This window comes from Homo sapiens, chromosome 9 (genome assembly GCF_000001405.40).
Source record: "Homo sapiens chromosome 9, GRCh38.p14 Primary Assembly".
NCBI lineage: Eukaryota > Metazoa > Chordata > Mammalia > Primates > Hominidae > Homo > Homo sapiens.
The window spans coordinates 89663654-89679400 of record NC_000009.12 but is presented as its reverse complement, the minus strand read 5'-3'; the positions used below and the strand labels follow the sequence as shown (position 1 = coordinate 89679400).

Genomic DNA, 15747 nt, shown 5'->3' with positions numbered 1-15747 from the left:
ACTTCTGAATATTTACTGTTTATTTTCTAAAAAAAAATCAGAGACATTCTATTATGTAACCACGGTACAGTCCTAAAACCCTGGAAATGAACATGGATGCAATTGTATTGTCTAATCTGCAGAACTGATTCCGATTTTGCCGGTTGTTTCGACAATGCCTTTTACCACAGAAGAGCATCCCAAGTGTGTGCTGCTCGCAGCTGGCCTGCCTCTCTGTCTCCAAAATTTCTGTCTTCCAGGACCCTGGCATCCAACTCAGAGCAGAGGTCATGTAGGTTTGTCAGATGTTTTCTCAAGATTATCTCAGGTCGTGCATTTTTGTCAGGAATATTTCTAGAATCGAGGCCTCGCTGCCCTCTGGGCACCCTTGCAAACCCACGAAGCTGCTGTGGGACCCCACCAGGCACATGGGAAGCTCCTGAGGTGTGGCAGGTGCTTTTCCTACTAAGATGGCTATTGCTATCCTCCTTCTGTGCTGCCTGATTTGGGGGACTGGCTTCCAACCCTGTGTTTGCTCATGGTTAAAACCCTTTTCGTCACACACGGTGAAGTGCAGGCCAGGGGTTCTCCTCCAATGTTCTCAGCAGGGGCCAAGAAGAAACAGCAAGTCTGGGAAGTCAGGCATCCTGCCAAGGGACAACAACCACACCGGCGTGCTGTCTGCCAGCCTGCCTCCTGCTGCAATCACCTTGCCGCTTCATGGTTATAAGTGTATTTAATTTATCCAGCACATAAATTAATATCCACACACGCTGTAGCAAAGACGTCCTGTGGAGTCCCAGCTGGAACTGCACTGATCGAATTCCGGGGTGCCAGTGTCCTTGCTGGACATTTAGGGGGCCTGGGCTTCTGCACCCCGGCAGTGGGCATGATTGTTATGTAAACACAGAGTGCAGCTCCAGGGTGGCTGGCCCATCTGCTCCTCTGCACACTTCTTGCCTACACTAATCATTTTCCATCCTCTTAGGTGAAAACTTGGAAAATGTAAGGGCTCCCAATCTCCTTTTCATTTGCAAACGAGCCATTTCAGCTAAGCGTGGCCCCCTATTCTTCTCAGGCATTTGTGTTTGTGAAAAGACCCGTCTCAAATTTCTGGGGCAGGAGCAGCTGCTGCGAGGCCTCTTTTCACTTGGCCTGGCTCCCCTAGCCCTCTGCCTCCCACCCCCTCCCTCCTTTTGTCTCTGTCAAAGCCAGCTCCCCTCTTTGACCCCTGGCCAACTCGGAGCCTCCTCCTTTGTCAGTCTCCCCAGACAAGTTTCACCCTAAATCAAGCATTGTTTGGGCTCCTGAGGCCAGCACGTGCCCATATCCCCTAATCTTTTAATTTCACCCCAGGAAAAAGCAGCTGTTAGTGATACACGCAATGCACAGCTGTTGGCCGGGCCTGCTGCCTGCTCCAGAGAACAATGAAGAAGAAAGGGCACTTGCAGGGCTGCAGGAATATGTACATTTCCCTCTCTCTTTCTTCTTCTTAGGATTTTTTTTTTCTTTTTGCAACAGTTGGCAGCACGTGCTGTGAAATGCTGCCCTGCTAGAAAAGCCACCTCCTCCACCACGATTTTTGTCCCCACCCGTTCAGCACTCCACACACCATTTGGTTTGCAGTTGGGCTCATTTAAGAACCAAACTTTCAGTTTCAAAGATCCCTGGCGTGTGGCATGATCCTTTTGTTACAAACATGCATCTGATGAATTACAGGGGACCCAGACAGGCAGACAGAGGCTTCACACTCACCGGCACATGCCCACGTGGGCCTGCCGGAGCCCCCCACGCTGACATTCATGAAGGCAGGGCTCAGGGGGCTGTTTAGGAACATCCATGCTTTTTGGGACTCCGGCATGCATGACCAGGGGACAAGAGGATGTCATGGAAATACACATTACCGAAGTCAACCAAAGTTGGCCTGGCACCCGGGAGGGGGCTCCATGAAGGTGTTTGGGGGACACCTCATTTTTGCATGCTGAGTCTTTGCTGAAAAGCACGTGGTAGCTTGATTTTCTGGAGCCTTTCTCTGGGCACACCTGTGCCCCCAGCAGCCTAAGGCATTAGGGCATGAGAATAGAATAGCACAGTACTGCCCTGCACTGCCAATGTGCCCCGGAGCAAGGCAGGTCACCTTCTCAGGGAGGGAGGACAAGGGGCTGAAAGGACCCTCCACAGCACACTGCTCCATGGAACTTTCTGCAATAATGAGAAGGTTCTCTGAACAGGGTCTGCACTGTTCAGCACAACCACTGAGCACTTGAAATGTAGCTTGCACATGTAACAGACTAACTTTTAAAAATGCTAATACATTTAAATTAAGATAGCCACATCTGGCTGGTGGCTATTGCATTAGACAGCACAGCTCTAAATGATGGGTTTTCAAACTTTGAATCACATGAGAAACAAAAAATTCAGATGCCTGGGTTCTACTTCCAGAGTGTCTGATTTAACTGCTCTGATAGCAGCCTGAGCATGGGGATTTTTAAGGCTCCCCAGGTGGCCATGACGGGGAGAAAAGTTGGGGCCCTATCTTAGGCTTCCAGCTCCAAATCTGGGCTCTGCAGAGACAGACAGTGCATTTGGAAGGTATATATCTAATTTAGCCATAAACCTTCCCTGTTTCTAAAATGCAGGGGATTTTTAAAGCAATTATCCACCCTGACATTTGTCCCTCCTCTGCCTGCCCTGCCCAGGTTTCAGGGCTGTCCCTACCCAGAAGTGGCCTGTGCAGCCACAGGTTGGCACGGGCCCCTTTCCACTCACTTTATCTCACCTGGTAGGTCATTGAAAGATGCTGGCAGAAACCCGACGCTCAGCAGAGCATATGGCGAGCTGCACACCTGCCTCGCGGGCACCTGCTGGGCCTCCCAGGGGTGTGGGGCGGCTGTCTAGGGCGCTCCAGGCCAGTGCAAAGCGTCCGACTCATTTGCATGCTGGACGCCTGCCACGTGCCTGGACTATGGCAGATCTGACACGGCATGTCATTGCTTTGAAGACCAGCCAATCTGGAGAAGCCTGCGCCTCCAACAACAAAGCCGGCAGCCCGTCTGAGACGCGTGCCGGGGCCCTGTACAGGAGCAGGCACACATGTGCACACACGGGCGACAGACACTGCCACCCGCAGACTGTCTTCTGTGACTCAGGGCCTTGAGAAGGTTGTAGCTTGGCAGTGGCCAGGGGGTCAGCCCCCTGAGCTGTGTCCAGTAGTCCCCTAAAGATGCTGCCCAGGAGACCTGGACACTTTATAAAAGCCCACACTTTTATAAATCAGACCCTGATAGCATCTGTTCTTTGACATTTCCTTTTCAAACAAGGAATCACTGTATGTTTTCATCATCTCTAAAGCTAAGCAAAAAGGAAATGAGTGGCCATGTTTTAATAACGCTGTCATATGCTGCTTCATCTTAATGCTGATGGTTGCATTAGGTGAAAGCCCACTACGGTTGAGCTTTCAAATGCCTCCAAAAGAAGCGAATTATCTTTTTGCCAGATGCAGTGTAAATAACTGGAGACATTTGGCTCCCCCATTTTGCTGCACGCGTGGATAATAATGAGGCCGAGTGTGAAGGGCTCGTCCAATTTGGATGAATTCTTTCCCCCAAGGATCCAGCCCTTCACTCTGGAAAGGGTTAAAAGTCAATGCAGCCACTGCTGCCCTGTCCCCTCTGCCCTTGCAGGGTGACGACTGGATAATCACAGTGAATGAGCTCCTGCCAGGGCCAGAGGCCAGCAGTCTCCAGCCCACCTCAGCCATCTGTCCAGACACGGGGACAGCCACGCTCTCAGTGGAGGCAGGGCTTGGAAAGCACAGAAGCTGGGCCATGTGGCAACCCGGCCAGTTCACCAAGGGCGGGGAGAGGCGTCCCATAAAATATTGTGACACTTGAGGCCTGGCTAATGGCTGCAGCTGAAGGCTGGGTGGCCGGCTTACATCCCTGTGCCCAGGCTGGCATTCCTACCACCCGCCCAGGCCAGGATGGAGTGGAGGAGGCCTTTCAAGTTGGAGGAGATGAGGCTTTCCTCCAGCAGCCAGCAGGGCTAGGGAAGGTAACAGGCAGGCATGTTTTAAGGCCATTAGCAAAGAACAATGGGAAGCTGAAAGGTAATCCCAGTGAATAGAAGACACAAAGTGGGCTTGTGCCAGCAGCCTCAGGGTCAGCTCATTATCCCAGACGGCAGATGGAGGGGGCCTGGTTGCTGGGCAGAACTCCGAGCTGCCTGCTGGGCGGGGAAGGCAGGCGCTGCAAGCCCAGGACTCCTCCCATCAGCAGCATGAACAACACCGCCCTGTCCCCGAAGCCCTGTGCAATGAACTCACCAGATCAGCTGACCCAGAGTGAGGGGAGCGCTGCCTTCTCAGTCCCCACAGGAGCCCTCACTGATGGAGCATCTTCACTCAGCTAAGACCCCCTCAGCCCTGTCCAGCAGCCTTCCCCATTCTAAGCACTCTGACCCCAGGGACTAGAAGGTGCTTGAGAGCGGGGGCCATGTGCTCCGCATCGTGTCCTTATCATCATCTCAGCACAGGCAGCTTCTGACTCTGCTGCATTGTCCTCATGTGCCTACATAGGCTGAGCCTGCAGAGATGCCTTGGACAAGGCTGGCCAGGGGCTGTTGACACTGGAGCATGTGCACACTGGGGGAAGGATTGCACACTGGGGGAAGGATTGCTCACTGGGGGCTGTGCGCACCATGTGTACTGGATGTACACACTGGGGTGTAAATGCTAAGAAAGGGCACACTAGGAGGATATGCACACTAGGCGTGTGTACACTAGGCATGCACTCTAGGCGTGTGTACATTGAGGAGATGTGCATACTAGGGGATGTGCACTAGGAGATGTGCAGACTGGGGGCATGAACACTGGGCTAATGTGTACACTGGAGGCATGTGTACACTTGGGGGCATGCATACTAGAAGGACATGCACACTGGAAGAATGTGTATACTAAGAGAATGTGTACACTGCAGGGTGTGCACACTGAGGGAACGTGTATCCTGGGGGCATCTGTACACTTGGGGTGTGCATACTGGGGGTCATGCACACTGGAGGGATGTGCACACTAGGAAGGTGTGCACACAGAGGGGATGTGCACACTGGGTAGATGTATACACTGGGGGGATGTGTGCACTGGGGGGATGTGCACACTAGGAAGGTGTGCACACAGAGGGGATGTGCACACTGGGTAGATGTATACACTGGGGGGATGTGTGCACTGGGGGGATGTACACACTGGGGGGATGTGTACACTGGGGGGATGTACACACTGGGGGGATGTGTGCACTGGGAGGATGTATACACTGGGGGGATGTGCACACTGGGGGAATGTGCACACTGGGGGAGGTACACACTGGGGGGATGTGCACACTGGGGGGATGTGTGCACTGGGGGGATGTGCACTGAGGGGATGTGTACACTGGGGGGATGTGTACACTGGGGGGATGTGTACACTGGGGGGATGTGTGCACTGGGGGGATTTGTGCACTGGGGGGATGTGTATACTGGGGGGATGTGTGCACTGGGGGGATGTGTACACACTGGGGAAATGTGTACACTGCGGGGATGTACACACTGGGGGGATGTGCACACCGGGGGGATGTGTACACTGGGGGAATGTGTACACTGGGGGGATGTTCACACTGGGGGGATGTATACACCAGGAGGAATGTGCTCACTATGGGGATGTGCACACTGGAGGGATGTTTACACTGGAGGCATGTGCACACTAAGGGAATGTGCACACTGTGGGGCTGTTCACACTGGAGGAACCAGGAGTATGTACATACTGGGGACAGGAACATTCAGTTAATCACACTTGGGATGTGCACACTGGCCAAGGCACTTGCACTCACTATGACACCCACAGAGCAATGGCATTAGCAGACCTCGATCACCCTCCATGGAAGGGCACCCTTCAAATCTGCATACCTGGAAAGCCACCGTCGGTTGTGGAGTGGTGAGATTGCTGAACCACAGAGGCTGGAATGCCCTGTCCTCCTCCTCAGCCTGCTTTGAAATCTCTATTACGTCTTTCCTGCTGCCCCTGCTGCCAGATGATCCCAGCAGAATCTTGTGCTTTTTAAAATTTGAGTGTTTTGTTTTGCACAGTTGAGTTTTCATTCTGCTGCAGCCCCTTCAGGCAAAAGTGAACCCAGCCTGGGGCATGCTCTCAGCAAGGCCTCAATGACCAAAATCCATACTGGAGTGCATTTTGCCCCTCTGCTTCTGGGCAGTCAGCACTCCAGCTGCGGCTGCCTCACCATCTTCTATGTTCTCCTTGCTAGAAAAGCAGTATTTCAAGAAAACTCCTCGGTGAGCTTTCCCATTTTAATTCAGCCTGTTGCTTAACAAGCAGTCATATAGAATAAATACCAGTGCTGAACACATGCTGAGGCTCCCATAAAGGATGCAGAGAGAATTGACATTGTTCTTCTAAAGTTAAAAACCACAATTTTATTCAGGGGAGATCTTTATAAGCCATTCATCCAGTAGAGCTTGCTATTAGGTGCATACAGCGATACATCCATAAATTTTGCGGGGCAGCTTCTTGACAGAAATGCAATGCTGGCAGCAGCCTTTCTTGCGTTTCTTGCAGCAGCCTTTCTTTCTTGCAACAGCCTCTCTTGCTGGCAGCAGCAGTTCCTTCAATGTCTTAATTCCTACAGTAAAGCAACAGGAAGTAGTGGCCTTTGTGCAGCATCTGTATTATGGCGTCTTCAAGAGCCACTGCGTGCCGCAGACAGAATTATATGGACTCTGCCCACACTGGCCATCATCAAATTCTACCTAAAGTGTTTTCTTCTGGATTTCCCTTTTATAACACTGAGTGTCAAAGTAGTATAAATCTTTTAAGAAAAATGTAATAGCACATAAAATATATATTTTTTTGAGACAGAGTCTTGCTCTGTCACCAGGCTGGAGTGCAGTGGTGCCATCTCGGCTCACTGCAAGCTCCACCTCGCGAGTTCAGGCAATTCCCCTGCCTCAGCTTCCCAAGTAGCTGGGACTACAGGTGCGCACCACCACACCCGGCTAATTTTTTTGTATTTTAGTAGAGATGGGGTTTCACCATGTTGGCCAGGATGGTCTTGATCTCCTGACCTTGTGATCTGCCCGCCTTGGCCTCCTTAAGTTCTGGGATTACAGGTGTGAGCCACCGCACCCAGGCCCACATAAAATGATATTTTTAAAAATCAATCTCTTGACAATGGTAGGAACATTTCCATTTGAGAGGAATTCTCTTTCTGTGCTTTTTGTGTCCATTTGCTAGGGCTGCCATAACAAACTTTCACAGACTGAGTGGCTTATACAGGGGAAGTTTATTCCGGAAGCCAGAAGTCTGAGATCAAGGCATCGGCAGGGCTGGTTTCTGAGGCTGAGACCCAGGCCTCTTTCTAAGCGTCTGGTGGTTTGCTGGCCATCATTAGTGTTCCTTAGCTTATAGATCTCTGCCTGCATGTTCGAATGAAATTCTTCCTGTGTGCCTGTGTCTCAAAATTGTCTTTTTTATAAGGACACCTGAACCAGTCATTTAGGATTAGGGTGCACCCTCATGATCTCATTTTAACTTGACTGTGTCTGCAAAGACTCTGTTTCCAAATAAGTACCCAAGGAGTTGTCATCAACATCACCACCACCACCACCATCACCACCACCATCTCCATCACCACCACCATCACCACCATAACCACCATCACCACCACCATCACCATCATCACCACCATCTCCATCACCACCACCACCACCATCACCACCATCACCATCATCACCACCATCTCCATCACCACCACCACCATCATCACCACCATCACCATCATCACCACCATCTCCATCACCGCCACCACCACCACCACCATCACCACCACCATCACCACCGTCTCCACCATCATCACCACCACCACCATCACCACTATCATGACTACCACCATTACTATCATTATATCTAACCTTTAAACTGATCCTGTGTGAGGTACCATGTTAAATGCTTTACCTGAATTCACTCTCTTAGTCCTCCTTAGAGCCTGCTGGTGCATGTAGTATTATTATCTTCATTTTAAAAAGGATGACCCTGGACCCCAGAAGGCCACACAGGCAGGTGCTGGGAGGCAGAATTTGAATCACAGCCATCACGCTTAGGGACCTGTGCCCTTAAGGGAATAGTCAGATGGGCATTGTTTGCAGTAGCAAAAGCCCGAAACCAGGCGAATAATTCCTGCAAGGGAGCACTGTGAAATGATTGACCAACAGGTATATGCCTCATCATGCATGCATCTCATGAGCAGAAAAAAAGCAAGTCACCAAATTTATACTGTATAACTTTATTTACAAATGTTCAAAAACAGATAAAATTTAGCTATCTATTGCTTGACAACTCACACATTTACAGTAAAACTTTAAACAAGACAAGGTAATGATTAACACATAATCCGGGCCAGTGGTTATTGCAATGAAAGTGGGAAAAAGAAGAAGAATGTTATGGGACCATTTAGAGGTCTGGGTAACGTTCAAACTGCTAATCTGGGTGTGTCTTCGTTTATTATTGCTATTTTCTATGTATATGTAAGTTACAGATACTCTTTTGTGTGTATAGTTCATTTCAGAATTATTTTTCAAGTTTGTTTTTTTTTTAATCTCCAACTAGGAAAAAACAAATCCCAGAAGGGATGATGAGGAGCATCTCTAGAGGCTACTCTGGCCAGGGGCTCCTGCCTGTGACCATCTACCCTCCACATGTCTGAGCCTAGGTGCCTCTGTCTCTCCAGAAGGGCTAAGGTGGTGGACATAAGGAGTATAAATCTTAGGCCAAACACATCACATTTTGTTATTCCTGTTTAATTTGATTTAAAGCTAAATCTAGCGCTCTTTCTTCCGGGTAGATAGGAAACCCAATCTGAGATTTAGGAGGGCCTTGAACAGCCCTAAACCTGGAGGCTCCCCTCAGGACTGTAGGTGGGACGATGGATCCCCACAGCCCCACACACTCAGGATGCAGGACAGCTGGCGCCAGTGTTCCTAGTGACAGGACTCACAGAACCCTCACATCTGTGGCCTCCTTACCTGCCAGGGCGCTATGCAGGGAAGCTCCCCTTCTTGTCTTCCCCCTTTGCCCCTGACCCTGAGCATGGGCTGCTTGGCCCAGGTCCAGCCTCTGCTGGGTCCACTGGGGCAAAGGGCAGCGTGACAAGGGACAAAGGAGCCACCCCTTTCTTATCCCAGAGCACTTACTGGGCCAACCAGATGAACTCTTACGTACTTGGTGCCCACACCAGAGCCACCTTTTTTTTTTGTTTTTGAGACAGAGTCTTGCTCTGTCGCCCAGGCTGGAGTGCAATGGCATGATCTTCGCTCACTGCAACCTCCTCCTCCCAGGTTCAAGCAATTCTCCTGCCTCAGCCTTCTGAGTACCTGGGATTACAGGCGCATGCCACCATGCCTGGCTAATTTTTGTATTTTTTTAGTAGAGACGGGGGTTTCACCATGTTGGCCAGGCTGGTCTCAAACTCCTGACCTTGTGATCCGCCCACCTCGGCCTCCCAAAGTGCTGGGATTACATGCGTGAGCCACTGCGCCCGGCCCAGAGCCACTTGTCTCTGATCAATCCCTTGGCCATCCTGGCTGTTGCCCCCACCCAACCTTCCTGGGGGCTGCAGACTATCCAAGGAATGATTCACCTCAGCAGAGGCTGGACCTGGGCCAAGCAGCTCATCCTCAGATCCCTCCCACCCCAGGTCTCTTTCCAGTAGCATCCACCTCTGGTGCTGGCCTTTAGGTCCCCTACCCAGCCCCTGCTTGATGGCACAGGGCCTATCTGCAAGCAGAGCCAAGCCCTGTGACCAAGAAGGGGCCTGACTTTTGGGTCAACTGGGTTTGTTCAGTCAACTTGGTTTGTTCAGTCAACTGAGTTTGTTGACTTTTGCAGGTCAGCAATTGCTAAGCAGTCACTCAAAACCCAATAAACTTTGAGAACTGACCATTGTTCCATAACTCATTTGGAGGCCAAGCTTGACCTGAATGCCTGTGAGTCTTTATTTACCTGATTTGGTTTCGCTACGAAACACTAACCCATTTGCTTACAGGGTGCTCCCCACACCTCAAGGGGTGGTGTAGGGTATGTGGTATCCACACTATAATCCAAAAAATTCCCAGGCCCAAATGCCGTTTGGCTCCAAAGGGGTGCAGGTGAAGGTCCATGGGCACAGAAAGTGGGCACAACACCATCCTCAAGGAAGGGTGGGGTCTCCCTGAGGCCCCACTGCTCAGCCACCATTGCAGGGGTCTGCTTGTCACTGGATGATGCAAGGAGTTGCAAACACACACAGGAACACATCAAGTCTCATCTGCTCCCATCTCTCTCAAACTGGAATAGATGTGTCCACAGCTTACCGAAGCTCCTAGAAGACCCAGAGGGAGGCCTCCAAATGCCTCTCAGAGGCAGGCTAGGTCCTGTGAATCCTGCCTGCTCACTGCCTGCTGCAAAGGGCTTCCAGGGGCCTGTCTGTCCTCTTCCTACCCCTCTGATGACCCTCCCCAGGCACATGCACAGGCATGCGCACCCATGCAACACAAACACACAGTTGTACACACATGCTCACAACACACATACACATGTGGGCACACATACACACTGCATTTAGGCACACGTGCACACATGCACCCTCCCTATCCGAGTTTTTCTCAGTACAACAGTCCACGGGACTCCATAGCAACCAGCTGCAGCATGCACTCATGGTTTCCAACTCAGAATAATACAGAATGTGCACATGGTGTGACCCTAAGCCTGGTGTCTCCCCACAAAACCACCAGAACTTGCACAACCAAAATCATGTTGTCTGGGGAGAGCTGTCCACTTCTTTCCAGGATTTTATTCCAGATAGCTTTGGATCACCTCTTCTAGAATTCTTCTCAAAGCTAAATTCAGAATCAACAAAGAAACATGACCCACTGCACACCTGCCATGAGGAAACTGAAGCAGTTGCCAAAGTCAAACGACTACTTCAGATCAGTCCGCTCCCTGGTGCACATCAAAAGCTTTGCCTCTCAAACGGGGATCCCCACACCCAACTCAGCTGCCACATGGAAAGGTGACAGCCATGCAGCCTCTGTGAGAAGGTGGGAGGGCATCCTAGTAGATGGAGGCAGAAGGGCTTCAGGAAAATGCATTTAAGCGTTCTATACCTGGAAAAGGGAAATTGGGAATTTACCCTTGTCATATTCAAAGAGTTCACAGATGAGTGTTGGTGCCTATTTCATATGGACAGTTTCCAGGGCCCTCAACAAGTGGCTCTGGGCTCCTTTATGTTTTCCTCCCACAATATTGAGATGAACCCGAGGAATCGATCCCAATCTTGGGATCCACAGGCCTCCTGGCTGCCTGCTGGGCAGTGGCAGCCCTCCTTCCTCTCTTCCCATCTGACCTTCTTATCTCCTGTGTCAACACACATTTCCCAGTACTACTGAATGTCCTGAAAGCAAACACTCAGCCACCTCCGGGAACTGGCTGGGTGTGATGCTCTGAAGGGAGCAGGTGCCTCAGCCACGACAGACTCAGCAACAAACCGCCAGGCAAGTTTGACAGGGGGAGAGACACAGCCAGGGCTCGCTGCTCTGGGGGATCCGGCCCAGCCCCTGCAGAGCAAAGCAGCAAGGGCATGGCGAGCCTCAGTCAGACCATCTTTCCAAAGGCAGGGGCTCTGTGGAGGGAGGCTGGGCTCTAGGGCCATTCCATCAGCAACTTGTATATGAATGCTAGAATCAAACAGCCCCTTTGATCATGAATAATTTTAACATTCGCTGTACTGTCCTGAAATGAAACTTCTGGTTAATATAATGTGTCTATAAGTGATAGATAGATGATGTTACAGATGGATAGATAGATGATAGAGAAATAAAGATGATATAGATAGATTAGATAGATGATAGATGGTATAACAGATAGATGATAGATAAATAGATAGATCATATATGTAATGCTTTAATGGTAATACAAAGAAAACTGACATAGATATAATACACAATAACATCTATTCTGATAGTAAATGTTTAGGCACAACTACCCTAGATGACAAATCAAGTCCTCAGATGCGTGCATTCAGGTAAAATTAAGGTAAAATTTCTGAGGATTCCGCCAGACAGTGGACCTTGCTTTGGTAATTCCAGCATTCGCTAGGGCTGTTTTCTGAAATTAGGAACAAAGCTTGGCAAAGCTTGGAGCAAAGCAAAGTCTGGATCCTCCCTTAGTCTATGCCATAGCTGCAGTGTTGGGAAATCCAGTGTCTATCACAGCCATGAGAGAAGTGGGTGGTATTGACAGAACACAGGCATGGGACCAGACCAGATCCCCAGACACAGATCTGCCACCCAAATGAGAAGCCAAGGGAGTGACACTAGCCACAGTGCCGTCTGTCTGTGTGGGGCTTTCTCTGCTTCGCAGAACCTTGAGCGTCCTCAGCCCTGGACCACAAAGCCAGTAGTCCCTATGGTAACTGTTTCCACCAAAAAATGCCCCCACAAATTTCCAGCATGCCCCTTTGAGACCCACTCCCACGGTGAGCGCTGACGCAGGCAACAGAACCCAGCCCTGCAGTGAGGGTAAGTGGGGGCCAGCCCTTTGCCACCGCCCATGCCCAGCCATGATTCCTAAACTCCATCCTCAGCACAGGCATAGAGTCTTTGGTGGCCCCTCCGGGTCCCCTTTGTCAGCCCCTGGACTGTGTGGCCAAACCTGTGCAGAAGCACAAAACCCAGGCCATGCACAAAAAAAGGTCAGCCCTGTTCTGAGTGCCTGGGGATCCAAGCAGGCAACTGGTTAGCTCTGCCTCTGACACGCCAGCCTCCCACAGCCAGCAGCGTGGGCCCCAGGCCAGCTCAAAAGCACTGGAGAGTCCCTCACATGTTGGCCGAAACCTGTAAATTACCCATCAACCCTGCATCCACGTGTTTTGGATTCTAAAGAGTTGCACTTGGATGACCGGGTTCTGAAGCAGGAGGCCTCCTCTCCCGCCAGTGGCCCCAGCCCTGCTCCCTGCACATTGCACCTTTTTTCCTCATTTCTCGCCCACTTTGCTTAGTACTGAACATCTTTGTTCTAGAGGCCCCTTGACTTCCAGAATATGAGTATGCAAATGGGATACTGTGCCCCTGCCCTGTCGGTAATCAACCAACCCACTCTTGCTCCTCTCTTCAGATGTTCCTCTAAGTCCCACAGAGAAGACCACAGTTGTGTAAGACGGTTAGGTAAAGCTATGGGGCCAATGATCTTGTGGACAACCAAAGTCAGCACCTTTGCAAACCAGGATTCATAACTAAATATGCTGGCATTTCTGGCTTTATTCAAACCACTTCCAAACTAAGATCAGCACATAGACAGAATATCACATTCTGGACATAAACGTGGGTCTCCTTCCAAACATGAAACAAGCTAATGAACCAGCGAAAGCCCCAATCTTTGACTGGCTCACGAACTCAGTATTTAAAACAGTAACACTAGGCTTTTGTGGGAACTATTGATGCACATTTAAGTCTTTTAATAAGGGTAAGTAAGAAGAACTCATTCTACAAATGACTCTGGGGATGTTTTTTGGGCTAGTACTCAAGCACACGGCCAGAGCTTGCTAACTCGATGCCCAAATCTGGTGTCTGCTGACAGCTATCCTCAATAGTGAGCAAATTTCTTGGGATCTGGTTTTCTCAGTCTTTAAATGAGGCCAGGTGCAGTGGTGCACGCCTGTAATCCCAGCACTTTGGGAGGCTAAGGGAGGCAGATCACTTGAGCTCAGGTGTTCGAGACCAGCCATGGGCAACATGGAGAAACCCCATCTCTACCAAAAATGCAATTAGCTGCTCATGGTGGTGTGCACCTGTGGTCCCAGCTACTCAGGAGGCTAAGGTGGAAGGATCACTTGAGCCCCTGGAGGCGGAGGTTGCAGTAAGCCGAGATGGTGCCACTGCACTCCAGCCTGGGTGACAGAGCAAGACCCTGTCTCAAAAATAAATAAATAAATAAATGAGGCTAGGAATGGTGCGGACATACCCACCCAAGAGAGATGAGGATGGTGATGGTGAGGGGCCAGGTGACGTGACAGCAGGAGTCTCCAGAGCTGCCGGGAGCCCCTCGGGCTGGGAGGCACCATGGGTACAGCAGCCCAGATGCTGCCGCAGGGCCACTCCAGTGTGCTGTGCTGGGCAGGGCCCTCCCAGGTCTCTGCAGCAGGGAGGAAGCGAGGTGTTACTGGGCCAGCTCTGTTCTCCTGAGCCGGACTGGCTCCCGTCATCTGGACCTAAAGTGGCCAAACAGGTTTTCCAGGTGGCAGCTGAGCTTCTGCAGCATCCGGAACACTTTGTTCCTAGTAGTGTCCCAGAGGGCTGTGTTCACAAGCCAGGTTCAACGTGCGATGGGAGCCTGAAAGGGAGGGCGTATCCTTCATGTGTCCCCAAGCGTGACCCAGAGCACTCCAGAGAAGAAAGTCATCCTCTGTCCGGTTAAACGGGGCTGTGTTTTTAGAGCAAAGGACAGAGGGAAAGGTCAGAGTCTCTCTCATTCGTGCCCTTCTCAGGAGGATCTGAGCTCCCACCAGAGAAGAGGCCTAGAAAGGTGACACATCTCTAGCAGGGCCCCAGAAAATTACATTTTGGAGAAAAGAATGCCTTACCTCATTCTTTGCTTAATTGTCTATGGTAGTGGTTCCAAATCTGGGGAGGTATTTTTATACAGATTCCCAGGCTCCAACCCAACTAGAATCTCTGCAAGGGGAACCCAGGAATCCATAATTCTGATGTTACAGGTGTAAAGGACTAACATTCAGGTGCTGTGACCCACACTCCCAAGATTTCTGGGATACTCACTCCCCAGAGTTGAGATGATAAAGCCTGAGGCATTTCTAAAAATATCAGTCAACTGGTTGAATTTCATTTCTGGTCATGACCACTAAAATTCAACTGAGTCCCAGAGAAAAATTCAGAGATAGTGCATTTTTCATTGTTTTCTTGCCAGAAACCTTGGCTCCGTATTCCTATGCCATCCATTACCATTAGCTGTGTGCTCGCCTGCCAGGGCTGGCCCTGCATTCAGGGAGCTCACACACCCTCCAGCTCTGGACTTCCATACCTGGCTGGGGCACCTATAGCCAATAAGCCACTCACATTGGTAAACCTGGTTTAACTCAACTCTCCTGGTTTCTGTGTTTCAAAATCAGAAATCAGCCAAATGTCACTCCCCACCTGGACCGCCAGCTCTGGAGGAAGGGCTGTCAGGTCTGGGTGTCTGCAGCTCAGCTCGGCACCCGAGGGTGCAAGGAAGAAGCCAGTGGGTACATGAAGGACAGCTTGTTTCTCTTTCTTACTGCTGGCTCTCAGCCAATGTCAGAGGATTATCATAGCCCCTACTGCCTCTCCTCTTCTAGACCCCCACTCCCTCTCCTCTTCTCCAAGCTGCCATTCCTGAAATCTGCTTTCATCTGCCTTCCTTCTTGAATAAGGGAGAAAGGAACTAATAGCAGTTGAATTTTACTGTGCCCGGTGCTTTCATTCTATGTTATCTCTGAAAGCATCCCATTTCTCAAGCAGCCTTTTGTAATATTATCCCGATGAGAAAGTAAGGCCCAGAGAAGTTAAGGACTTTTCACAAGGTCACACAGCTGGTAGCAGAGCGAGCATTCAGGCTCCAGCCTGCATAAGGCAAAGTTGGCCCTTGAGCAAAGTTCCTTGGAATTCAGAGGAAATGCTCCTGTTTCAGAAATTGTCATCTCTACAGGGCCAGGTGCCACA

At 50.4% G+C, this 15747-nt stretch overlaps 1 long non-coding RNA gene across 1 annotated transcript in view, besides 3 other annotated features; it reads right to left on the bottom strand.

Moving 5' to 3' along the window:
- The window catches only part of LINC03062 (long intergenic non-protein coding RNA 3062), a 79977-nt gene that overhangs the window by 40359 nt on the left and 23871 nt on the right, over window positions 1–15747 (bottom strand). Inside the window, exons 2-3 of the long non-coding RNA NR_024280.1 lie at window positions 14019–14473; window positions 5914–6644 (exon numbers count right to left, since the gene is read on the bottom strand). This is a non-coding gene — a long non-coding RNA (long intergenic non-protein coding RNA 3062). The remainder of the gene's footprint in view (window positions 1–5913; window positions 6645–14018; window positions 14474–15747) is intronic.
- Window positions 427–1832: an enhancer, noted in NCBI's record as "VISTA enhancer hs1339". NCBI's record gives its function as "enhancer in: neural tube[6/7] | hindbrain (rhombencephalon)[6/7] | midbrain (mesencephalon)[6/7] | dorsal root ganglion[6/7] | forebrain[6/7] | limb[6/7] | nose[6/7]" and the evidence as "EXISTENCE:transgenic organism evidence [ECO:0001131][PMID:17130149]".
- Window positions 2401–3050: an enhancer, noted in NCBI's record as "H3K27ac-H3K4me1 hESC enhancer chr9:92291266-92291915 (GRCh37/hg19 assembly coordinates)". NCBI's record gives its function as "activates a minimal SCP1, AML or CMV promoter by ChIP-STARR-seq in naive H9 embryonic stem cells {active_cell/tissue: H9 hESC(naive)}" and the evidence as "EXISTENCE:reporter gene assay evidence [ECO:0000049][PMID:30033119]".
- Window positions 3051–3701: an enhancer, noted in NCBI's record as "H3K27ac-H3K4me1 hESC enhancer chr9:92290615-92291265 (GRCh37/hg19 assembly coordinates)". NCBI's record gives its function as "activates a minimal SCP1, AML or CMV promoter by ChIP-STARR-seq in naive H9 embryonic stem cells {active_cell/tissue: H9 hESC(naive)}" and the evidence as "EXISTENCE:reporter gene assay evidence [ECO:0000049][PMID:30033119]".